This window comes from Homo sapiens, chromosome 1, assembly GCF_000001405.40.
Source record: "Homo sapiens chromosome 1, GRCh38.p14 Primary Assembly".
Lineage (NCBI taxonomy): Eukaryota > Metazoa > Chordata > Mammalia > Primates > Hominidae > Homo > Homo sapiens.
The window spans coordinates 56,778,605-56,805,265 of record NC_000001.11 but is presented as its reverse complement, the minus strand read 5'-3'; the positions used below and the strand labels follow the sequence as shown (position 1 = coordinate 56,805,265).

The 26,661-nt window shown below is 40.1% G+C and overlaps 1 protein-coding gene across 18 annotated transcripts in view, besides 2 other annotated features; it reads left to right on the top strand.

Annotated features, from left to right (window-relative positions):
- Window positions 1–26,661, top strand: part of FYB2 (FYN binding protein 2) — a 108,126-nt gene that overhangs the window by 21,649 nt on the left and 59,816 nt on the right. For all 18 annotated transcript variants that reach the window (XR_007095697.1, XR_007095698.1, XR_946570.2 and 15 more), the window contains 3 exons: window positions 12,463–13,210; window positions 16,132–16,293; window positions 18,058–18,091. Coding sequence is in view for 13 of the 18 variants with exons in the window: in XM_047448403.1 (XP_047304359.1) it covers window positions 12,463–13,210; window positions 16,132–16,293; window positions 18,058–18,091 (944 nt within the window). In the remaining 5 variants the exon portion in view is untranslated. The remainder of the gene's footprint in view (window positions 1–12,462; window positions 13,211–16,131; window positions 16,294–18,057; window positions 18,092–26,661) is intronic.
- Window positions 3,767–3,936: an enhancer, noted in NCBI's record as "experimental_8756 CRE fragment used in MPRA reporter constructs". NCBI's record gives its function as "activates a minimal promoter by MPRAs in K562 erythroleukemia cells, with activity observed for both the introgressed and non-introgressed 1:57267088 variant alleles {active_cell/tissue: K562}" and the evidence as "EXISTENCE:reporter gene assay evidence [ECO:0000049][PMID:34662402]".
- Window positions 25,025–25,194: an enhancer, noted in NCBI's record as "experimental_8694 CRE fragment used in MPRA reporter constructs". NCBI's record gives its function as "activates a minimal promoter by MPRAs in K562 erythroleukemia cells, with activity observed for both the introgressed and non-introgressed 1:57245830 variant alleles {active_cell/tissue: K562}" and the evidence as "EXISTENCE:reporter gene assay evidence [ECO:0000049][PMID:34662402]".

The following is a 26,661-nucleotide window of genomic DNA, read 5'->3' as shown; positions in this document are numbered from 1 at the left end:
TGTGCCTAGACACAGTGACAGAAGCACAAGTGAAAAGAAAATCTGATCTACATGTGCGAGTGGGGTGTGGTAAAGCAGACACGTATGTAAATCACTTTAATCAACAAAATTAGATAAGTGGAAAGACAGAGGGAAGCAGAAGGTACTAAAATGGAGCAAGTACAGACAGTTGGCCCAACCTAAGAACTGGAAAAAGCTGCTCGGAGGGATTGGTAACTCAGCTAAAAAATCTCAAAAGATGAATACATTTAGCCAGGCAAAGAAAAGCAGGAAGGGCATTCCGGGCAGGGGCAACAGCAGATGCACAGAGGCAAGTTCAGTTTTACTGCAGGGGTGAGTTAGAGGCAGGAAGTGGTGGGAAATGAAGCTGGAGCTGTAGACAGGAAAAGATCAGAGAAGACCTTATGTGTTTGGCTAAGGAATGTATGATTTACCAATAAGGTAACAAGGAGCCATTGAAAGATTTTAAGCAGAGGAGTGGCGTGATTGAACCTGCACTTTATTTATTTATTTATGTATTTATTTATTTATTTATTGAGATGGAGTCTCACTCTGTCACTCAGGTTGAAGTGTAGTGGTGCCATCTCGGCTCACTGCAACCTCTGCCTCCTGGGTTCAAGCCATCCTCCCCACTCAGCCTCCCGAGTAGCTGGGACTACATGCATGTACCGTCATGCCCAGCTAATTTTTGTTTTGTATTTTTAGTAGAGATGAGGTTTCACCATGTTGGCCAGGCTGGTCTTGAACTCCTGACCTCCAGTGATCTGCTCACCTCAACTTCCCAATGTGCTGGGATTACAGGCATGAGCCACTGCATCTGACCTGAACCTGCGCTTTAGATGCATCATTGGCATGAAATTAATTTGTAGTTCTCAAAGAAAGCCTTTTAAAAGATCATCCCCTCAGGAGGTTATTACTCCAGAAATATATTCACTCATTTCATTTGCTGTTAGTTTGGTAAATACTTATTGAGTATTACTAGGAGCAAATTTTCATGCTTGAAACTGTAGGCTCCACAAAGGTGAGCATGTATTTCTACCTGACCTCAAGGAGTTCATGGAATATAGGGCAGATGAAGCATCTACTTGAATAATTGTAGTAGGATATGGAAAGTGGCAAAGGGCATAAGACCAAAAGAGATTTGCAGATGAAGTGCTGTAAGACATGTTTTCAAATCCGTTCCTTGGACCAGGTGCTGAGCTGGCCTCACAGTAAGCACTCAAGGTTATTTATAAAATATGGACTCCTCGGAGCTTCTATTTCAGTGGGGCAGGCTCAGGAGTCCCCAGGATATTCCCATGCACAGCCAGGATTAAGAACAATTGCCAGAAGAGGTCTGAGGAGAAAGAGGTTAAGCTTTGAAGGGGCCATTGATGGTGGAAGCATGTAAGCTGTGCCTAGAAGAATGAGTAAAATTTGGACAGTAGATTTCGTGCTATGACATTCTGGACATGCCAGATGGCAGGTGAAGCATGGGCTGTGATGGGATGCAGGAAAACAAGGCCCACACTAGAGGGAGCCCAGGAGTTCTACGTGACTGCAACATAAAGCTGTGTGGTGGCGGTTTGGGACCAGATCAAGGAGGTGAAGGAATTAGCACTTTAACTGATAGATACTTGTGAAACACTATATTATTTTTTTAAATGGAGTGACATTTTAGACTGGAATTGTATTTTAGAGCCATCAGATCCCTGCAACATTTTTGTGTGAGGCTGGGTTACCAGTTAGAAAATGATTGCAAAAATCTAAGTAGCAGAAGACAACATGCTGAACCAGGGAATAACTATCAGTCCAGCTACCATTGATTATGCCTGGAGCTGAATAATTGTTTTGCTTTTTCTTCTTCCTTCTTAAGAAAATGTGAGGAAGTGGTTAGGGAAAAGTTCATGATCTCGTTACCCACAATTCCAAAATCCAATAAGCTCTGAAACCCACTAATTTTTCATAACATTTTTGGTTTCAAAAGCCTGCCTGAACCAACATGAGACAATTTATGGTCTTTATTTATCTTGCATTATATGAACATTAATATGTTTTACTATAGAAATGGTAACATGTTTGATCACAGCATGCTGTCTCAGACCACACTAGGATTTACGTATACAGAATTTGTAATATATTACCTTTCTAAAACTGGAAAAAATTTGAATTCCAAAGTATACTTGGTCAGAGGATTTTGTAAGGATTGTAGACCTAAATTGGTGCTGAAACTAAATCTCAGAGAATCCAAGCAATGTTTCAAAGAAAGAGGAAGACATGAAGACTGGGGTCTTGTGCAGGGAAAGAAATGGATGGAAGAGATTTTATAGAGAGGCTGCTAACACACAAATTTTCATGTTGATGCTAGGAAGATGATTGTGTTGATGTTAATGTACTATTGGAATTCTTAGATGAAAGTTCTAATGGCTCTGTAATTGGTGATGGATGGACAGAAAGGCCTTCATGACAAGGAGTGTAGGCACATGCAGACAAGAAAGTGCAAGGTGATATGATCTGAAATCCACCGAAGGGTTCCCTACACCAAAATATTTCCTCCTCTCTTATTGCCTTGAAAAGGCAATTGAGATTCTTCATTACTTCATTGAAAGAAGGCTTTGAAGTCCCTAAACCTTTGAAGGCTCCTGGGAAGAATAATGGCTTTCTTTCTTCTGCTCAACTCAATTTTTACTCTAGCTGCTCCAATCTGAAAATACAATGGAACGGCACACCTCCATGCCTGTGTCTATGCTGTTCCTTTAGCCTAAAATGTCTTGATAGCCCTTTTCTCTACAATGGAAACTCACTCATCCTTCAATCTTACTTCCTTTAGGAAGGATTTCCTGAATGGGCCAAGCTAAACTAATTCTTCACTAATTTTCATTTACACCATGCACTGTATTTATGGTTAGGTAATTGCCTGCATAACTACCTTCACTAAATGGGGATGAAGTGTTTCGAATTGCTCCAGCCCAGCTATCAGCCGAAGATACAATGATGGAAAGGCATAGTCCTTGTATTGAAAAAGATGAGGTTTAGTGGGAGAGGCAGACCAGTAAGTAGTTATGATAAGATAGAATATGATAAGCACCAAAACAGAAGTAAGCAGAGAGAGGTACTTGTTCCAGATGGGGAAGAAGCCAGGAGGATTGGGAAAGCAGTGCCTTACATGAGACTTGAATGAGTAGGAGTTGCCCACTGTGTTCTCCTGCTTGCAACTTTTAGAGGCTCCCCATTGCCTATGGAATAAAATCCTAACTCCTTCACTTGGACTCCAAGTTTCTGCATGCTCCCACTCTAATAGACAATTCCAGCCCCTAAAAACTGCAAAGTAGATAGGAGCTACCCTGGGTTTAATTCTGCCTCTGGTACAAATAAAGAGTAGGAAGAATGTTTAACCAAGGTTAGAGTTCTAGGCACATTTCATGCCTTTTACACATACCCAAGTAACTGTGGAGTGGGAGATAGGCAAGAATTAAGATGTATTCCAGAGACTGATTCTCATGATGGTCTATGGAACCCAATCTGGGTACATAGGGAAATGAAGATGGGACCGGATAGTAGAGAAACAGTGCTAAGGCCCATGAGGCTAATGCATTGCTGGAGTTGGGGCACCAGAAAAGGCAAGTGGGTAAGATGAAAGGGGGTGTCCAGGAGTAGGGTACTTGAGATTGATGTGGTGGAGACGGTTCATTTATTACTCATAGCAGGGTCTAAGGTGTATCTGTGGAAATTAGTGTCTAAAGTAGGGTGAAAGATGAGATCATCAGAAATGAGGCCAAAGTGTTGGAAGGATTACCTGCATGGATTTGGAATTTGCTTATTGTCATGAGAGTAGTAATAGAGAGGAGTGAGCTGGGTGCTTAAATCTTTAATAAATAAAAGGGAGTGATCAGGAATATTGTGGAAGACATCAATGGGAAGCAGTAGGTTTAGTTTGATATGCCCTTTGCAGGAGTTGGTCTTATTGAGGAAGAAAAAATAATTTGAAAGCAGCAGTGATGAGCTAAGAAAACACTTTACTCCACTTCCTGACCCAGGAATAGAGGAGAGTGGAAGAAGAAAGCCATGCTTGGGAGAGCACAAGAAGAGCCATTTCTTCAGGAGAGAGATGAGTTCGAGTTAGAGCAAAAAGGTAGAGGGCAAGTTCATAGAAGAGCTTGAGGACATGAGGAATTTTGCAGACTGAGGGTTAGGGTGGTCAGGGAAGGGTGAGAAATGGGATTCAATTGGCGATACTATAGAGGTCTGTGGGGAATAAGGCCCTTTGTTAACAGACCAGCTTCGTTTTCTCATGGTGACCAAGGTAAATGGGGATGTAAGTCTCACTGGCCTGATGTTTTAGGGGAAGACAAGTCATCGGCTAACTATCGCCTACCACTCAGGATGGGGGCTTAGGCAGCATTAGTGGTAATGCATGGGGTATTGAGGTGAGGAAAGCATGTGGTGTATTAGGACCATCAAGACTCTGGGCTGCCTTTGCTGTCTGCAGTAGGCAGTGTCATGGCTGAGGGACAGCAGGTGGCATATGTGCTTGCAACTAGAGGAGGCGCAGTCTCACCAAGAGCACTGGCCAGGGGCTGGGCACTTAGGGACTTTGTAACACTTAACTGAAACCTTACACCCCATGTGGTGAGTATTATTGGCCCCATTTTACAGATGCAGAGAGATTTAGTAGCATGTTCAAGGTCACACATTTAATGGAGCTGGTATTCTTGCTCATACCCAACCTGGAGGTGAAAAGTACTCATGTGACCTGACAGATAATGGGGGTGCAATTATTTTATTTTATTTAATTAATTAATTTATTTATTTTTTTGCCTTTACATAGGAAGCTTTTAATCTTTCTAACCTTAAGCTTTAACCTTAACTAACAACTACAGTGTCAGTTCAGTTCTGTTGTTCCTATCCCTTCATAGGAATTAATCATTGGTACCAAGAATACAGACAGTTTCACCATTATTATAGCTCTTATAGTAGTGAAGGTTGAATTGAAGCCCTTTTAGTCATGAAGGGTGACTCAGATGCTATATTTAATCGACTTCTACTTCTTTCCATCTTAGATAGGATTTGACAGTTACTACTGCCTCTCTTCCTGGGCACGTAATTTGTTGGCTTCTGCTGCCTTCTCTTTGCCTTGGATTTTGAGTTTACATATTCCTTAAGGCTCTTGGATTTGCTTACCACAGAGGAATGTTCAGACTTGTGATAAACCATTGCTGTTGACGTTGCCATTGTTTCTCCCTGTGGAAGGCAACAGTTAGCAATGTGCAGACATTCAGAAATGAGTTAACCTTTATTTTCCAATTAGGAAATGTGCATAGAAATAGTATCTTCTCCTTTTGGAACTTACTTTATATATATTTTTATGACCGCATTCACTCACCAAGTCACTATTAACTTATTGAGCACCTGCAGTCCTTGTCCAAGGCAGCTTGCTGTGCAGTGCAATGAATGCCATTGTAGATGTTAAGGCAGAGAGCGGTGACATAGAGAGGGTTACCTAGCAGCCCGTGGCAGCAGGGTAAACTCAGGAGAGGATGAAATAACTGTCTGTGCCATGCTTTATAAAGCAGAGATCAAAACGTGATTTGACACAGAATTTATTATCATTTCCAAATTTACTTTGAAAGGGTATAATACTGAGTTTTGTTCTTTGGTTCTGAATTTTCCCATCACCTTTTAAATTACATTAAATCAAAACTACCTTGAAAAACCCAAGATACATGGTCACAATGGCCATGTAATTTATTAAAATTTTTAAAACTATGCCAGTTATATTAAGTAAAATGTTTTGCTCATGTCGGTATAAATAAATAAAAAGTCTGAGAAAGTGTCTTAAAAGCCAATGCAAATTGGCTTCCTGGGATTTTTGTTTGTTTCAATGGTGTGATTAGAGCTACATTTTTAACATAATCTCTAAAGTAAATGTGACATATACAAAATTGATTATGATATTTTTATGAATTAATAGAAGAATTTTAAATTGAAGCTAAATTTATAAGAAAGGTATATTTGTCAATATATTTGTATATTTATTGCAGAATAAATAAAAGCAGTCCTGGAGTTACACAGACTTGGATTTAAATTCTCTAACTATGTAAACTGGGGAAAGTTACTTAACCTCTCTCTTAGTCTATCTATAATACAGGGTCAGTAACAATCGCCTAATTGGTGGGGTTATTGTGGAAATTAATTAAGACATCATATATAAGTGTTGTTAAGGATGATGAGGATAGAAAAAAATATAGTTATCTCTGAAACTAGCAAAGGGGAAAATATCTTCCCAAGAAGAGGAGGTTACAGCATTTATGCTCATGTAATCAGGTATTAGCTTGTTTCTAGAAAATTATTAGCCAAAGAAGTTTCTAGACCCACCAAGCAAATTCTTGGGTTAGAGGATTCCAGAATAGAGCATATGGGACTCAAAGCCAGGTTGTATGAGTTTGATTGCTAGCTTTGACCCTTCCTTGCTGCGTGACCTTGGACAAGTCACATAGGCCCTCGATGCCTCACTATCCTTGTCTGTAACCTGAGAATACATGGGTTTAAATTAGTGAATGTATATGAAGTGCTTAGAACAGTGCCTGGTATATGGTAATATCATGTGTTTGCCCATTTTTGTTATTATTATTATTATCATTATTCCTTAGATTCCTGTAACATAAACATTGAATAAAAGGCATCTGTTTGATGGAGTCTTTTTTCCTAGTGATGAAATACATTCATCTAAATATAACAATGCCACACTTGAAGAGCTGAGATTCAGACTTCTAACTATTTTACTCTGGTCTCTCCATTCTTCTGAAATAGCAATGTCTTTGTTTTTGTTGGCTGCTTCCTCCTTGCTTAATTTCCATATCAAAGAGATAAACCCCTTCTGTTTAGAGGACACCACTGTCTTTTATCTTAGGTTGTTCCCACAATATCTCTCGAATTGTTTTGGCCTGTACTTCCCAGATGGGTATTTGAGGCTTGCCCAGTACAAATCAAAAGTACCAGGCTATTTTCCAGGGCTATTTTTAGGGCTGTCTTTTGACATGATAGCAATTAGATCATTTGTTTCCATGGGCATTCTAATCTGCTTTCACAAAGATGACACAGGAAAAAATTAAGATTCTGCTGAGTTACGGTTCCTGCATTATGTGAACCAGCTAACTTTTCTAAATATCTATTCACTGACTCATTCATTCACCAAGGATTTCGTGGGTCACTTCTGCCACTGCTGGGGATACCAACATAAATAGGATACTGGCCCTGTCTTAAAGGGGTTCAGAAAGACTAGTGAATTAAGGATTCATTCCTTCACCGCATTTTTATTGAGGCACTGGCACTACAGCAGTGGGCAAATACTGAAATACAAACAAAGTACCCACCTTCAAAGAGTTTACATTCTGATGGAGGTAGACAGACCATCTGATGGGTTTTGATAGGTGCTATAAAGAAAAACAAACCAGGCTGTATCGGCCAGTGTGTTTTGTTGTTGTCGTTGCAGATACTCAAACCTGTTATTGTAAATATGAATGGAAAAGGATTTACAAGAAATTATTTTAGGAATTTCCAGAACTGGCAAGAAGCTTAGATGCTAGAGCTAAGGGAATGGGGCAGTTCCTATGTGAATCCATCGATGCTGCTACCCACCACGTAGCACAGGAACCTCTGCCACAGCTGCTCCCCAAAGCACATGCTATTCCCTGAGCGGCCACACCCTCAGGGCCTCATTTACCAAGCTATGGACACCTCTGTTGGGCAAAATTCCAGATAAAAGAGTGCCTGGGCGTGGTAGTTCCAAGCTTCCCAGGCTCTGTGCCAGGGGAAGGCTCACAAGAAAGGGTTGGATGAGCCAGTGTATACCCAGGGTAAGGTAGGTAGAGAGTGAAGGAGAGATGCTGCTTTACCTAGAATGGTCATGAAAGAGGAATCAGTTAGAAATTGCCTTTAGCTGCTCACCAGGAAACCCATCAGTAGTTCCTCACCCACTGTGAAGATTAAGCCCGATGACATTAAGACTTGGCCTCTCCTTTCTTCTCCAGCCTCATACACTGTGCACTGGGGCTTCAGTTATGTGAAATTGCTGCTGCTTCTCATATACATCATGCTGTTTCCAAGATTGTGCCTTCTGTGTTCATGCTCTGGGCTGCCTTCCTCTGTTCTTTGCTTGGCTGACTGTTTAAGCTGGGGAATCTCCTCTAGGAAACCTGCTTGGCAACCAGGTTTGCATCATAAGCCCCTTTTCTATGTTCCCTCCACAGACTTTGTGCCATATATTTAATAATTCCCTGTATTATGTTAAAACAACCAATTTGTGTCTGTCTCCTTCATTTTCTGAGTTCTGAAAGGTTGGGGTTGCCTCATTCATCTTTGTAACCCTAGTGCCTAGTGCATAGTAGGCAACCAACAAATATTTTGAGATGACACGAGTTAAATTTTGAACGAGCAGGAATGTGCTAGTTCAAGAAATTAGAGAGAAAGATGAGCATTGCAGGCAGCACATTCAAAGTTACAGCTACATGAAAGGGCAAAACAGGTTTGGGAGAATGTCAGCAATTTAGTGAGGCTAGAAGGAAGAAAGCATGTTGGGGGGAGGCCCAATGTGACGTTGGAGCATTAAGAGGGTCGGGATTAGGATGGGTCTTATGTGCTAAGCAAAAGAATTTGAGCTTATTTGAAAGCTTTGAGGATGCTAAATTGAAGGTTTTAAAACACGTAAGGGACTTACATGATCAGATTTGTTTTTAAAGAGGTTTGTCTAACAGCTGAGTAAATGGTGGATTACAGGGGCTCAGAATGGAAGCAGAGAGTCCATCAAGAAGTCATTCGAAGCAGTAAGTGAGGAAGAATCGAAGGGAGGTGCTCACGGGCTGCTTAAGAGTTCAGATCAGTGGGATTTGGGGATTGACTAGCTGCGGCAGCTGAAAAATGGGGCATGGTTTTAACCAGAAGGACCCTATGGCCACCTCCCAAACCATCTTCATGCAGTTTTCCTCATGTCCTCAAACCTGAACTTCCACCTATGGGTGATGGATAATAAAAAACAAAAGGCATCACATCTATTTCCCATCAATTGTAAGGAAAATAAAATCTAAATATTAGTGCTGGAAGGGGCTTCGGAGATCACCCAAACCAACCATTAATTTGATGTATGGCTGAGCTAGAGAGAAGAAATTACTTTTCTACTGTAGCTCTGAAAGTCAGTGGTAGACACCCAGTCACTATTGCATCATCTGCTTAATTCTCCACATAGCACTTTGTCTCTAATATTTTCTTGTGTAATTGCTTATTTTCTGTCTCTCGTTGACATTACAACAGAGCCCTTGACTGTCTAAAACAATGTTTGGTCTGTATGTAGATACTTAATGAACATGCGTTGAAAGAGTAAAGAGCCAGGTATAATCAGGTTTGCTCCCCGCTGAACTAGTGATCCTTGCACAGGACCTTGGTTTGGAGGTTATCAAATCCATAATTCTATTTCATACTAGGGCTTTGCTTAATTAATCCTACAGAGACTAAAATCTAAGCAACAACATTGTACAGTAGTTGTCCATGTGGCTTCAAATAGTGAAGAACTGAAAATAATCATTATATTACTTTAAAAATATTAACCACTGACAAACTCATAACCATTAGGATGGCTATTGTAAAAAAAAAAAAGTGTTGGTGAAGATGTGGAGAAATTGGAACCCCTGTACACTGTTGGTGAGAATGTAAAATGGTGCAGTTGCTATGGAAAACAGAAGGGAGGCTCCTCAAAAATTAAAAATAGAATTACCATATAGTCCAGCAATTTCACTTCTGGGAACACAACCAAAAGGACTGAAGATAGGATCTCAATGAGATATCTGTACACCTATGTTTATAGAAGCATCATTCATAATAGCTAAGATATAGAAGCAATCTGACTCTCCATTGACGGATGAATGGATAAACAGGATGTGTTATATATACACTATGATATATTATTTAGCCTTAAAAAGGAAGGAAATTCTAACACATGCTTCAACATGGCTAAACCTTGAGGCCATTGTAATAAGTGAAATAAGACAGTTACAAAAAGACAAATACTCTATGATTCCTCTTATACAGTACCTAGAATAGTCAAATTCAGAGACAGAGTGTAGAATGAGAGGGTGGAATATGGACTTATTTAATGGATATGGAGTTTTATTTTTGCAAGATGAAAAGAGTTCTGGAGATTGGTTACACAACAATGTGAACCTACATAACACTGCCAAACTGTACACTTAGAGATGGTTAAGATCTCTAAGTGTACAGTTTGGCAGTGTTATGTAGGCAGTGTTTTATGTGTATTTTACCACAATATAAAAAATATTTATCACTGAGGTGTGTATGTGTGTTATCTCATTTGATTCTTACAATAACCCTGAACTGCTGTCAGAAATATAAGTTTCATTTCATAGTGAGGAAAATAAGGCTCAACAAAGTGAAGTGAATTGCCCAAGGCACGTAAGTGGAAAATGGATAAGTGGAGTTTCACACTCAGATCTCCTGATTTCATGCCCAGTGCTGGCTTCTGCCACGTCAGGGGAGAGAAAGTGTGGTTAAATTAACTTGTCTGCTGGCTATGTGTGTGCGTGTGCCTGTGCGTGTGTGTGTGTGTTAGAGAGATAAAGAGAGAACAGAGAGATGAAAAAGGAGAGAGAGTGCATGTACTTAAGCTCCCTGACACTTGCTTCATGCTTCTTGTTCAATTTTCCTCCCTTCCAAAATCTTCAGAAGGCAGGTGTGAGTCAACTGTAAATATGGTGAGAAAAGGTCGCCCAACATTTCCTAAGCTGGCAAAATCAAAAGTCACTGCCATGGAGATGGTCTGTGTAAATGAAATTAAAAAACCTTTAAGATGATCAGGAGAGGATAGTGGCTCTTATTTTTTGCAATGGCTCCATTAGACATTGTCCTACTTCCTGCGAAAGCAAAAGATGACAGAACACATTTACAAAATCTAATGCAGTTTAGTGGGAGGAAGAAGGACCAGCAGGAAGAGCATGGAGCAGGAGGTAAGCCTACACCTACCTGGCCGGACCACCAATCAACTCACTGTATAAACCCAGTCATGCTCCTTCCTCTGCCGCAAAGATTGGGCTCCCATTACTACCACAATTTTCATATACCAAATTGGAGCTGAATTTAGAGGGAAGAGCATGATCATTTTCCAAGGGGAGTTAAAAATGCAAGAGCGTCATCTAGCCTCTTATAAAGAACTTTTCTTTATCATGGGCCTACTATGTGTCAGGCACTGTAATGGACATTTCACTTATAATGGCCCTAATACTGCTACTGTTTGACAACTTATTTTTATAAAGCACTTAGAGGGAAGATCAAGTTTCTCAGAGTATTTCCCTAGAGGATAAAGAGTGGAGTCTTCATGTGAACATAAGTCTGTCTAGTTCCAAAGTTTGTTCTTTTCTCCATACCATAGCATTAAGTTCAACAGCCAAGATATAAAAAGCTATGGAAGTACCAAGGAGACAGGAAAGAAGTTAGCTGTGTCTGTCATCCACAGGTGAAAGCTTTTTTTTTTTTTTTTTTTTTTCAACTTTCGTTTTAGGTTCAGGAAGTACAGGCACATGTTTGTTACATGGGTAAATTGTGTGTCACTGAGGTTTAGTGTATGAATGATTCCATCACCTAGGTAGTGAACATAGTACCCAATAGGTAATTTTTCAAACTTTATGCCCCTTCGTTCCTTCACCCCTCTCATAGTCTCCAGTGCCTTTTGTTTTCATCTTTATGTCCATGTGTACTCAGTGTTTAGCTCCTACTTGTAAGTGAGAACATGCAGTAGTTGGTTTTCTGTTTATGTCCTTTGTCCATTTTTTAATGGAGTTATATTTTTTTTGCATATTGAATTAAGTTCCCTAGGTGAAATATTGATGGATTAGTAGGCAGCGAAGTGCAAGAAAGGTGTTGACAAGCTGATGGGGATGCATTTTGTGAAGCAAGAACACAAACCAAACTCCAGGTGATAGAGAGTAGGAGGGTCTAAGAAAATTGTAAACAGTTCTGTTTGGTTTAAGGGTAGTTGTGTTTGGCTGTGGTTGGAGATCATAATTCCACCACCTTTTGGTGGACCTCATTGTGAAGAACCTTGAATTCTGTATAAAGCAGTTTGGAATTTATTTTTATAGGTTGTGGGGAGCCATCAAAAGTTTGTATCAAGGGGTTTCTCCACTGTTTTTAGTACTGTATATAGGTGTTCTTTATGTGCTGTGTGAAAATTAAACATCCCTGGAGTGTTTAAGAAAGAGATAGTGTTTTCATTGTATCTCATATAGACAATAGCATTGCTGGCTAACATTGCCCAGAAGCAATTGCGTTATATCAGCAGTTAGAGTCCCTTAACATGGTGAGATCAGTGAGATCTAATCACACTGACTTTTTTTCTTGGAATAATGAGACACTTGTTTTTGTTGTTGTTGTTTGTTTGTTTTTGTTTTTGTTTGTTTGTTTGATTATTCTTTGCCTTAGGAAGGGGTAAGAAACTTCAAGGAACTTCGAGCCAAATTTCAAAATCTTGATGCTCCACCTCTTCCAGGACCTATTAAATTCCCAGCAGGTGTTTCTCCAAAGGGTGACATTGGAGGCACACAGTCAACTCAAATTTTGGCCAATGGGAAACCCCTCTCATCCAACCACAAGCAGCGCACACCATACTGTTCCAGTAGTGAGTCCCAGCCTCTTCAACCTCAGAAAATAAAGTTGGCTCAGAAGAGTGAAATTCCAAAATGTTCTAACTCCCCAGGGCCTCTGGGAAAGTCTACTGTATGTTCTGCAACAAGTTCACAGAAGGCTTCTCTGCTGTTAGAGGTGACTCAATCAAATGTTGAGATAATCACTAAGGAAAAAGTAATGGTGGCCAATAGCTTCAGAAACAAACTCTGGAACTGGGAGAAGGTTTCATCTCAGAAAAGTGAAATGTCTTCAGCCCTTCTCCTTGCCAACTATGGAAGTAAGGCCATCCATCTGGAAGGGCAAAAAGGCATGGGGCTTACTCCAGAGGAACCCAGGAAAAAGCTGGAAACAAAAGGAGCCCAGACTCTTCCTTCCCAGAAGCACGTGGTGGCCCCCAAAATATTACATAACGTCTCTGAAGATCCCTCTTTTGTAATTTCTCAACATATCAGAAAAAGCTGGGAAAACCCACCTCCTGAGAGGAGCCCGGCAAGCAGCCCCTGCCAGCCCATCTATGAGTGTGAGCTTGCCAGTCAGGCCCCAGGTAACAAACGTGATCCCCATGGGACAGGGGCTAGGGAGGTGTCATCATGTTTTTCTACTTGAAAACCTGTTGATTCAGAGTGGTTATGTATATGACCTGGGAAATGTGGCTCCAGACTCTCCACGTGATATTCTAGGCCCATCTGCTAAATTGTAACCTCGGGTTTGAGTAAAGTGCTTAATCTCCTGGAATTGCTTTGTGAGATAGCTTTTGGAAAAACTTGGATTTGAATCCTAGCTCGACTTCTGACAAGCTGCATGAATTTAGGCAATTTATATAGATTCTTAGAGCCTGAGTGCTCTCTTATAACTCAAATCTGTCACCAATCATCTGTCTTGGTAAACAACACAATTATTCTCCTAATTTCTCAGGCCAAAACTTACGAGCCATGCTCTATTTCCCTTCTCCTCCCTCATTCTACACACTGAATCTGTCGGCAAGCTCTTGGTTTTGCCACCAAGCTCTTGGTTCACCTTAGTATTATCTAAGTTATGAAAGGATAAGGACTGGCTGGGCACGGTGGCTTATGCCTGTTATCCCAACATTTTTGTAGGCCAAGGTGGGCAGAGTTCAGGAGTTCAAAACCAGCCTGGCTAATATGGCAAAACCCCATCTCTATTAAAAATACAAAAATTAGCTGGACATGGTGGCCTGTGCCTGTAATCCCAGCTACTCGGGAAGCTGAGACACAAGAATTGCTTGAACCTGGGAGGCAGAGGTTGTAGTGAGCCAAAATTGTACCACTTCACTCCAGCCTGGGCAACAGAGCAAGATCCTGTCTAAAAAAAAAAAAAAGATAAGGACTGTAGTTTTTTACTACCATATCCCTAGCACCTAGAAGAAAAACGCCAGATTGAATAAGTCCTAAAAAAAAATTTGTTGAATGATTGATTAAATGGATGGAAGGCTGGATGGATGAATCTCCTTACAACCTTGTATGGTTTCTGTTTGTACTTGGAATAGAATCTAAACTACTTGCTTTGTGGTCTTCATGGCCCTGCATGCTGGTCCCTGCTTTGTGTCTGACTTATCTCCTACCTGTCTTCCCCGAGCTCTCTGCCCATAGTCAACACACTAGATTTCTTGCTGTTCCTTAAATAAGCTTTGTCAAGCCTCAGGACCTTTGCACTTGCCATTCCCTCTTCCTCAAAAACTCTTTTCTTTAAGCTTTTGTAGCTGCATTTAGGCCTAAGTTCAAAAAAAACTTTCCGAGGTCAGCTTTCTCTAACCTCTCTCTATAAAGTGTACTGCCTCATCATCAACAGCTCACACTTGTCATCCTACCTTATTTCCTTCATAGAACTAATGGATCTCTGTAATGCTCTTGTTTATTTGTTTACTTGTTTATCATCAGTCTCTTGTTATTAGAATAAAAATTCCTGAAGGTAGGAATATACATGTTCTTGTTCTCAACTCTATCCCCACTTCCTAGAACAATACCTGGAATATAGTAAATAAATAGTTATTGATGAAGGGATGAGGAAGAAGAAAAGACAGATGGGAAGAAAGATGTATGGGAAGAAAGATGGATGAGAGAAAGGAAAGAAGAATGTATTATCTACCAGATGGAGCTACTGAGAAAGTTAAGTGAGATAACGGATGTAAACTACTTAGCACAGTGCCTGGTAAAAACTCTGAGCCCAATTAGTGATAATTAGTATTCACTATGTCTTCTTCCTAATTTGATAATGACTGAAGTTTTTGACAACGCTACTTGTAATTCAAGCCTAAGAAGAGAGGAACTTTGGGCCCGAGTTTCTGGGGATGTAACCCGCTGTGGGTGGAGCAATAAGGAAGCTTTCCCTCCCTTCCAGCTTGTGGAGGAGAGCAGGAAGTCTCCCAGGAGTATATGCAAAATGCTAGGCCACTTCTTAAGTTTTCACATGAATGGCCCATGTAGTCAACTACTGTCTTACATAAATGAAAAATCAAAGCAGTTGGATTACATAAGATTTTGTGCTATTTTCACTGTAAAGGGCAGATATGATTTTCATATATAATATTGGACTTTCTGTTGGAGTTGGATTTAAGACTGCAGAGGACAAATATATGTAAAATTGGAACTTTCCTGGAAAATTCCAGGACACAGGTGCCCAGATATCACAAAGTCAGCCTTGAAGCCAGTCCTAGGCTATGAGCCCTGGAAATCCCAGATCAATTCTTATTCCTTTTTATAGAGCCACTTATTTGCATGTCATAAGTGCTTGAAGAACACTTTCAGTAAATAGTCACAGCCTCTCTCCTATGAGGTAGGCCCTGTGCTTGGTGCTGGGGGATCAATACAAAACCATCCCCACCCACAGAAGCCTTTGTTAAATGGGAACATAGACCAGTGCCTCCAATGTGCCATGATATTGATGTAAGGGTATTAACAATGTGCTACAGGGATACAAATCAGAGGTTGATTCTGGCCTTGATTCCTGTGAGAAATCAAGAAAAGCTTTCTAGAGGAGGTGTCATTGGAGCAGAGCCTTAAAAGAATGAATTGAAGTTTGCCAAGAAAGGGAAAAGTGTTCCAGAACCAAGAAAAACATGAACAAAATTTTGGATATATGAGAGCTTTTTAAGGCTATCTAAATCAAATACGGAGAATGGAGAAGCCAGTGATGTGTGTGAAAAATATTTGGGCTTTAAGTGGGGGGAAGCAAGACATATAATATGCCAAACAAAGAATCTAGAAACACAGATGGGTGCTGTGTGGTGTAGAAATGGCAGAGATGGAGTAACCAATGTCATGCTGAGGAAATCCTTAAAGCAGCAGCATGGCAACTGATCAGGTTTATGTATTGATCAGGGCACTCTAGCTGTTGGGTGGAGAATAGATTGGACGGGACTTAGATGGAGGCAAGGAAACCAGTTTTACCCACAAGCTATGAAATGAAAATAATCATAACTTACATTTTTTACTGTCTTGTGTTCAGAAAAACAGCCAGATGTCAGGCATCACCACCTTCCCAAAACAAAGCCATTGCCCTCCATCGACTCCCTGGGTCCTCCTCCCCCAAAGCCTTCAAGACCTCCCATCGTGAACCTCCAGGCCTTTCAGAGGCAGCCAGCTGCTGTTCCCAAGACTCAGGGGGAAGGTAAGGAAATGCACAGGGCCCTACACAAGGCCAACCAGGAGTCACCTCCGTCTCCACATCCTCTCCCAGGTGACGATGCCGCTGCTGCTTTTCCATGAGGCTGGACATCCATCACTGCTTATTCTCATCTAGAGGCTGTGGCAGCTTGCCCATGAAACGATGTCTCTGTGGGAATTGGCCCTTTATCGCTCCTAGACCAGCCCACTTCCCCTGAGAGCACTGCATTTGATCACTGGGAATCTGTCCAAGAGGAAGAAAACAGAAAGTCGCTGAGCAGGGAGTCACTGAACCTTTGTGTTTCCTGCAAACCTGTGTTGTCAACACAATCCATTTGTGCAGGAGAAGTGGGGAGGGAGTGAAAAGGGAGAAAGTCAGTGTGAACTTGACCTGAAATCCTTAGGGGGAGCCCCTCAGGCCTCCATAATCTGCTTTTGGTAATTAACTGAAAGCCTGCAACCCCCAACCCTCTGATCCCTTCCAGAAACTGAAACATCTTTGGAAGCCATTTTTCTGTGCTATTTTGTGTCTTCTTCTATTTAAAGGAACACCTCTCATCCCTCACCACTCCCACCACAATCTGATCTTGTTGACATTTTAAATGCCTTAGCTTATGTTTGCTCTAATGAAACACAAGATGAACATACACTTTGGGACAAAATGTACTGCTGTGCTAACATTTGTTTTACTGTGGCCATCAGCACCAGCAGATGGCAGGTACACTGAGACAGCTAACACAGTCTTTGTTCATTTTAACTGCTTTGGGCAACTTCATGGTTAAATTACTCTGACTTCATGATTCTCAAACTTGAGTGTACATCAGAATCACCTAGAGGACTTTTTAAAACATAGATTGCTGGGCTCCATTCTCAGTTTCTGGTTCAGTTGGTCTGAGTTGGAGCTTGATAATTTGCCTTTTAACAAGTTCCCAGAGGTTGCTGAGGCTGCTGGTCCATGGACCACACTTTGAGAACCACTGCTACAAGTCATCTTAAGTCTTATCCTAAAAGAAAATTCTATATGGGGAGATAGGCTCTTATAAGTATACTTTACTGATATGGACAGCTCCAAATCAAAGAAGGATAAGTGTGATTTTTATAAACATTAAATAATTCAGGCCTCAAATATTCTCTCTGAATGAGAAGAAGGTTTGTCAGCAACATAGAACAAAGTACTAAGTCTTTTGCCATAAAATGGGCTTTGTAGATCCCAGCTTCTGAACTCACTAGCTATTTAAGTTTGGGTTTGTTAATCACTGAGCCTCATTTTCCTTATCTATAAAATAGGGATAATTTCCTTATCTGTAAAATGGGGATACCACTGATCTCTTAGGATTATTGTGAGGATAATGAGACATGATGCCCGGAAAGGGCTTAAATAGTGCTTGGTATACCAGGAAGTGCTCTGTAAATGTCCAAGTTTATTTGAAACAAACATTGAGCAGCTATAATCTCTGTACCATGTCCTGTGATGGAAATGAGAGATTAAGAGATAAACCCCACAGGGGTTCTGGTCTTTAAGGAGGTCAAAGTCTAATGCAAGAGATTGTACCCATAAATAAGAAATTGTACTGTAAAGTGTGGGTGAGTGCTGCAATGCAGGGACAGGCATCCCCTGGGTGCTGGGGTGGAGGTAAGGGATGTTTCAGGCACAGGCAAGCTTCCACTCTCCACATTATCTGTGGGATCAAGTCATCACACAAGCATCATTCACTTTAACCAGGCTGCTGCAAATGCCTCTTTTTCATTCCGCCTCTTTCTCTTGCAGTGACTGTGGAAGAGGGCTCCCTGTCTCCAGAGAGGTAAGTACATGCTCCTTAGTTGTGTAGGAACGTAGCCCACCACAGAGGCTACTTAGACTGCTCCAGAGCAGGCAATTAGCACAAACCAAGAATCTGTATTTCTCAGAAGGGTTTCAGAAGCAGTGAACTTATAAGCAACAAAGTGTAACTTTTGTTGTAAAGAAAAGATTAAATAAATTGCATTTAACACGTACTGATGTTAAGTTGCAAAGATAGTCCTCAGAGGTCCTTTTTTTATTACACACTTGGGTTCAGTAAATTGAAACATCACCCTTCATAGTCATAAATTGAATTAGAGGCTAAAGAATGCTCTGGGCAGCTGGTGTGATGTTAGGAATTGGTAATAGGATAAAGGATGTTCTATTTTTGGTGTACTCCTTCTAAGAATTTTGCCACAGAAGTGTCAGTTCATTTAACTCACTTAACCAAATAATATCTATTGAGACCTTTGATGTGTCAGGCACTCAACTGGCTACTTTATACAGATTTCTCATTCTGTTCTCTCAAGAGGGCTGCACAGTTGCTGCTGCCGCTCACATTTTACAGCTCAAGATACTTGGGCTCAGAAAGTTTGCCACTTGCTGAGCCATGATTCCAACCCAGATGTGCCATAACTACACTGATTATATACCTCACCTCCCACACAAAGATGTTCCTGTTCTCAAAAAGGTTAGTCTCAGAAGGAGATCCAAACTTAACAATAAATAATCATATTACTTATTCCTTTATCAAATGTTTACAATGGTAAAGTGTGTTAAGTTTTGTAATAGAGGAAAGGACAAGATTCAGAGGCTGCACTAAGGAGGAAGTTGTTACATCTTCTTGGGAGGGTCAAGGAAGTCTTTAAAGAAGTATCAGTTCTCCATTGCTAGAGTAATGCTACATAATAACCAAAAAACTTTCATAGCATACATGAGTCTGTGGAGTACAGCTGATCTGGGCTGGGGTCAGCTGGGTTTGCTCATATGTTTGCAGTAGACTGCAGGCTATCTAGGCAACTTTGCAATATTGGCTGGGGTGGCTCACATGTTGAGGGGAAGCTTAACAGTTGGCTGATCTAGGATTGTGTTGGCTGGGATGGTGGGCACCTTGACTTGGCACCATCTGTCTCTCCTCATCCAGCAAGCTAGCCCAGGGGCACTCTCCTACAGTCGCTGCTAACAAGCAAGACAAGCCCAATCACACCAGTACTTTTCAAGCCTTTACTGTGTTGCAGTTGCTGACATCTTATTGGTCCAAGCAAGTAATATGGCCAAGCCCAGAAGCAGAGTGGGAGGGTGCTGAAAGTTTCATGGCAAAAAGCAGGGATGCAGGAAGGAGTGAAGAATGGGGTATTGATCCAGTCAACCTATCCCCGAAGAGGAAACATTTGAAATGAGTACTGAAGATGCACATTTGCAGCACAGCATGGGAAGGGACACTCTAGGTAGAGGCAGGAGGTGTGAAGCAACATGTTTAATTTGTGGAAACTAGAAATAAGTACACTTAGAGTGTAGAAAGTATAGAAATGGTATAGAAACGGGATTATAGAGGTAAACAGGAACCACATCACAGAGGATCTTGTACAACAGGGAATTGATAAGACAATCTTATTCAACAAGGAACTGGTAGTGTGGTGTTAGACGCAATTCATGTGCTCTGGGAACTCCTGGGTTAGTCATCCCTTTGAAAGAGTTAAATGACAGCACAAGACAGGTCAGTGGAGACGTGTTCTATGCGTATTTATGTGAAAGAGAGAGAATAATCTAACTGGCTCAGGCAATGGTTTGCACCGTTTACTCAATGAACATAGGTCCCAGTATGACAGTGTGAAGGGACAGTGTTCTGCTGTGCTCTCACTTGCTCTTTGTTCTTTCATATTGTGAGCATCTCAGTAGGATTGAGTGTAAGGTGACTGCTGTGTTTAACTAGATACACATTTTTCCTACAGATTGGTTCTAATCTAAGCTGACCTCTTCTCTGGCATTTAAATCAAAGAAACGGCAATCTGTTTCAACATGGAGGATAAACTTGCTGTGATGGCCCATTAGTCAGTCTCCACATGGCACCATCTTCCTAAGGGATTTACAGGGGCCATTTTGACTGTTCTGTCCTTTCATGCTGATTTTGGAAGCTAACCTCCGTCTGAAATGAGGTTTCACTAAACAGTGATTATGATGTGGGCCATAGCGCTGAAAGAGTGACAGGCAAAAGAGATAAAGAGGGGCCAGAAAACTTAGGGCACCTTCATGGGAGATGAAAGAACTGGGCCTGTATCCTGCATAATAGGTACGAATTAGATAGGTTTACTTATGTGTTCTCTTTTGTGAGACTATCAAGTGGTAAGGCAGGGTATTGTTCCCTGATATAAACACCGTTCTGACATGTAGTTGATCTGAGATGTAGTTGATGGGTGGATGAATGAATGGACAGATGGACAAACAGATAGACAGACCAATGGATTTTTATTATAGAGATAGAACATGTTTGAAAGCAAGGAGGTTGGGAAGGAAATAAACAGACAAAAGGAGACTCTAAAGAGAAGGAAATACACAGACAAAAAATATTCTAATGTATAAAATTAAGAGATGAGGTTGGATCCTAAAATGCATTAAGTGCCATGGTAAAAAGTTGAGACTTTATCTTGCCAATGATAAGTGAGTTTGAACAAGTAAATGTCATAATGTGCAATAGCTTTAACTATAACTTCCCTGGAAACTGGTGCTCATTTGGGAAGAATATCATCCATGATCAAGGTATTAATCTTCAATTCAGAGATTAAATTATAAATGGTATACGTAGGCTCTCATTACTGGAAGGGAATGTGCTGATAATCTCATGTAGCCAAGCCACATAGCACAAAGTTAATGAAAGCCTGGGTTTTGATCCCACCCCTAGAACTTAACATCTGTGTAATCTTGGGAAAATGCTTTAGCTTCTGCAAACCTTAAAACAGAAAAAAAACTTCTGCAAAATTCTTAAAACATCTAAGGACTACATTCTTCTCCAAATTAAAACTCTCATTATTTTCAACCATAATGTATAAAACAGGAGTCTTTGTGTTCTAGCTGTATTTCTTTGGATATGTATTTTAATCATCTTAAAGGTCTACATCTTAAGATCTACTCAGTTTCTACTTTTGTGAAATGATGATGTTGTTATTACCTAACTCATACTAGTGTGGTGAGGGTAAATAAAATAATGATCTTGAAGTGTTTAGGGCAGGGCCTAGCATCTAGAGAGTGTTCAATAAACCTTGCTTAGCTGTTATGTAACCTCCCAGCAAGGGCAAGAATCTATGCTCAGAACTTTAGTCTCTTCAAAAATTCATTGATGAGGAGCTCAACACCTTGAGAGCCTTATATTTTTCTTCATCAGAGCCAATTCTATTCATTCAACATGTATTTATTGAGCATCCACTATGGGCCAAACATTTACATACATTGAAAATATAGCAGTGTACAAAATAAAATAACATGCATACACACACACACACGCTTCTTTGTTTATTTATTTATTTCAAAGTCCTTCAAGTTGATCTGGAAAAAGAATAGACCTCCCTACCCAAACTCTCAACCGTATGTCTAAGATACACTCTTTGGTACAACAGACATCATATTTACCCCCTCTTTATGTGACAATTCTTAAAACATCTAAAGACTACATTCTTCTCTAAATTAAAACTCTCATTATTTTCAACCATAATGTATAAAACAGGAGTCTTTGTGTTCTAGCTGTATTTCTATATATACATATTTTAATCATCTTAACCCAGCACACTTACAATAGCCATCTTTCATTTCTGGACCTCTTTGTGTCTAAAACATGAGAGGTGACATTGTATAAAGGAACAAGTGCAGGTTCTAAAGTCACATTGGCATAGATTTAAACCCCTCTTCCATACCTTAGACAAGCCATTTAACAGCTCAGATCTTCGATACACACATCTGTAAAGTGGGCACAATATTATTATTTACTTTATTGTCATCAAAGCCAAGTGAGATAAATTATATCAAGCATGGAAAACACAAACTCAATGAGTCTCAGTTTCTCTAAACCTTGGCCTCTCCATCCCTTGTTACCTCTGAAATATTAATGTCTCATTAGTTTCCAACAGTGAGATGGCTCTTTGGAGATTATTCTTTGTCATCACTCTTTTATGCAAACCAAGCTGGCTGGCATCCCTCTTGAATAAGCAGTCCCTATTTGTGTGAGCAAAGTAGATTAGTCCCAGGGCAGCAATCAGCACTGGTCTCTGTCAGTACTTAGCAGAGTTGGCTAATATTTTATTCATTAGCTATAAATATGGCTTTTCTCTCATTAAGAAGTGTCAGAGATAGTCCTGATTCAGGGAATCTGACTCAGACACATAAAGGAGGTGCTGTTTATTTTGGGAGTAGGAAGATGACAGCAGTGTTTCTTAGGGGAGGGTCTGTGGGTGAATTCTCAAGAGTTTACCATTTTCTCTCTTGAAGTTTTTAATTTTGTGTTTTCACTTTGATGATAGTCTTTAAATGCTCATAAGCTTTTAAAATAAGTCTATCAGCTTTTATTAAAAGCTGATAAGCTTATTTTGAATCTTTCCGATGACTTCTTTTATGCCTAGTACTTGGAAACACATATTTGTATTTGTGTTTTTGCAGTTTCTACCCCAAGCAGAGTGGGAAACACAATGTCTTCTAGGGCTGGGCAGATCATGTGACTGTCTCTAGGACCCGTGTCAGGCAGTGGGGAGTGGCTGATCCTGTGGAAGTGAGGAATAGATGCCTTATCAAAGGCCTTCAAGTAAAATAATGATGATTACAACAACACTGTAACCAAAAAAATGCATTTACAGTACTTATTTTCATCGTAATAAGTACTATAAACAAAAATTTAAGAGTATTAGGATAATAATGAGAGTTTGAGAGTGAAATAAAGCTTAGGATGGTCAAGAAAGGCCTCTCTGATTGATTAATGGGTACAATTAAACAGTTAAATAGAAGAAATAAGAACTAGTGTTCGATAGATCAGTAGAGTGACAATAATTAACAATAATCTATTGTACATTTCAAAATAGCTAGAAGTGAATAATTTGAATGTTCTTAACATAAAGAAAATTGTGATAGATATTTCAATCACCCTGATTTGAACTTTACACATCGTACGAATGTATTAAAATATCATATTACCCTGAAAATATGTACATCTACTATAAATCGATCAAAGAAAGACCTCTCTGAGATAGTAGCATTGAGTTGAGAACTGAATAAGGACCCAGCCCAGTTAAAGGAAGATCTAGGAGATGAACATCCCAGGAAAGAAAATAACTGGCACAAAGACTAAAGGGAGAACCACGCTTAGGACATTTTAAAGGAGAAAGGGGTTGGAATCTTGGCTAAAGTGCAGTGAGCTCAGGAAATGGAGGTGGAGTATCTTGTGAGCTGTGGAAGTAATTTGGATTTTGCTCTAAATGCATTGGGAAGACATTGGAGAGTTTTAAGCCAGGAAGTGACATGAGCTGACACTTCTTTTGTAAAGATCATTCTGGATGCTGTATAAATAATAAATTTCATGGGAAAAGGTGGAAACAGAAAGACGTCCTGGAAAGCCATTACAGCAACCACTGTAAAACTAGCAACACACACTCAGTGTTTATTCTAAGTACTTTATACATGATTTCATTTATGACAATTTTAAGGAGCAGATAGTACTGTCCCATTTTATAGATGAGGACACTGAGTCACAGAGAAGTTAAGTAACTTAACACGGACAGGGTAGTCAAAATGAAATAAAAAAGTTGACGGATTAAAGATTTGTTTGGAAGGAAAACAGCAATTGCTGGATCAGCTGTGGGGAGTGAGATGTGAGGGAAAGAGAGGAATCTAGGACAATATGGAGGTTATTTGCTGTTCCCATCATTGTTGATATTAACACAGGTGAAGTGCTTAGCACAAAATCAGTGCAAGACAAGAAGGATCCTTCCTGAAAGGACTTTGAGCTTGTTTTCTACTTAATAACAGCAACAACAAAAAGCATGTCATTGTGCCTTTGTACATGTACAACAGAATCACTTAAGGCTAGTTTTAAAATTGTTTGCAACTACAGTGCTCTTTCCTGAATGGCTGCACTTCAGGTAATTAAGACTGGTACAGACCTGACCTGATTGACGAACAACAAAACAGCCTCCTTGTGGTGATATTCAAGAGGTGAAAGCAGGCCAGGAAGTCCCAGCACGCTGGGATAAATTGAATCGCTACAGGAAAGAATGAAGAGAATGAATTTTTTGAAGCCTGTGTCCTGCCTGTAGAGTTTCAGACTCAGAACATTCAGGTAGTTTCAGCTTAAGCCACTTCAATAATTTCTTATTATCCCTTTTTAATTGGACTTCAGGGACACAACAGGGCCACTGATTGGCCTGTTTTTCACAAGGAGCAGTGAATTTACTGAGTTTTTCTCTTCTTTTTTGTTTTCAAATATTCCTCCTTAAAAAAAAATCTCACCTATAACTTCTATTTATTGAGCACTTTCCATAGATAAAGAGTTGTACCTTATGTCCTCTCTCTCATTTTACAACTCCCAGCTACAACCACCCATGAAGTACAGTAAGTGCTTTGTGCGCTCTCTGACCATGGAGAGTCAGGTGAAGTCATCCAGGGTGATGCAACTGGATCAGCAGCACCAGGGCTTGACCTGGTCAGCCTGGATCCAGAGCACAGCCTCTCAACTATCACCCCAGGCTGCCTTAATGAGGATTCAAACAACACTTTACCTACAACAAAAGAGGGCAAGGCTTAATAGACTCATGGCTTGCTCTACACATCGAGCCTGGATATGCTTTGAGCAGGTGTTCTTGAACGCCTGCCTTAGGATTTCATTTTCTGTGCAGAGGGATCTGTGTGAGGGAGGCTGGCCTAGGGTGGAGCTAAAATATGAAAGGTTTTGGAACTAAGCCTTGCTTTTTCTCTTCAGTGGCATTCAGATGATAAGCCAGAAAAGTCATGATTGAGAAAGAAACAGACAATCACAAGTTGCAGACTTGGGGCCTAGTTTTGTACAAAGGTTTATTTAGTAAGGTTGAATAGAAACTACTGTTTGTGTATGACCACATGCTGAGCATTGCTGAGCCCTTTTATATCTGTTAGACTCATTCTAGACCAATGACTATCTTAGGAGGCAATACTAATTGCCACCTATAAAATGGCAATATTATTATTAGTATTAGTATATTGAATATTGAACATTAGTGAATATACACAATATTAGTATTGTCATTTTATAGGTGAGAAACCATGGCTTGCCCTGTTTCAGAGTTTATTTGGGATATGAACTCAGAACCAAATTAAAGATTTTCAGCTACGTTATTCTGACTCAGCCAGAATTTTTCCACCATGAAGTGCTTTTGGAGATACCTATTAGACTGCAAATTCCATGAAAGAAGGATCATATATATTTTTCACCTTTATTTTTACAAGACCTAGTAAACAGTGGGCATGAAAGCAATAATTATCGAATGACTGAGTGATGGGCCAGTGGAATAACAGATAAACAAAATGATGGGGAGAAGGATGGATGGAAAGAATGATATCATCTTCCACTAGCTTTTATGTAAATAAAACATTTCAAGATTCTGTTCTGTATACATTTTGCCTTGGTTTGCATGTCCAATATTATATCCCTCGAATATTAAAGCTAACTAATTAGGACAATCTGAGCACTTCCTTTGCCCTTGCATATTAGGTAAGGGCTACTGCCATGTGAGAGCGGGGACTCACATGAGATCCTCTTTCCTTTGCTCCTTCTTGGTCTAGCGTTCAGCTCCAAGTGACACCCTACCAAGAAGCTTGTTCTGATTTATTAGCCCACATGAGAGGCACGCTCCTTTCTTCTCTCCTCTTCTTTGGACTCATTAGTTTTTGAATTAAATATTTAATTAAACTAATCATTGAGCTCTTAGCATCCATTTTATATTTGGAATAAAATTCAAAAATGTTGTACTTTTCCCAGGGCCAAGAATATGCTTCCTTATACTTCTTTATACCTATATATATTCTTATAGGTTTCTTATGGGTTTTGATCACTGGTTATTCTCCAAACTCCTCTCCTAAGCCCTCTCACCCTTGTTTGCTGTCTTCCACCCATGGACTGGCCTTTGGCTAATCATCAAACACAACAAACTTCCCTGACCAATCAGAAGTACTTATATTTTCTTGTGTGTGTCATCTTCTCCCAGATCGTCACCTGATGGCTCCTTCTCGTCATGCAGAATTCATTTTTTATTTATTCATTCAATAATTATTGAACTCCAACTATGTGCCCGCCATTTTTCTAGATGCTGGAAATGCGGCAGGAAATGAACACAAAGTGTCTGCCCTCATTAAGTATATATTTTAGTTGGGAAGAAAAATAAATAACAAATATGGTATGAGGCAATGATATATGCTGAAATGTCAGCTTTCCTGGCTATAGCACGTGTTCCCTCACCCAAGACGCTATTTCATATATGATTCTGCTTTATTTTCCTGTTATTTTTTATGAATGCTTTGATTGATAATATTCATTTGATTGATTTATTTTTTATGTTTTTCTAGACCATGAGAACCCTGAGTTTA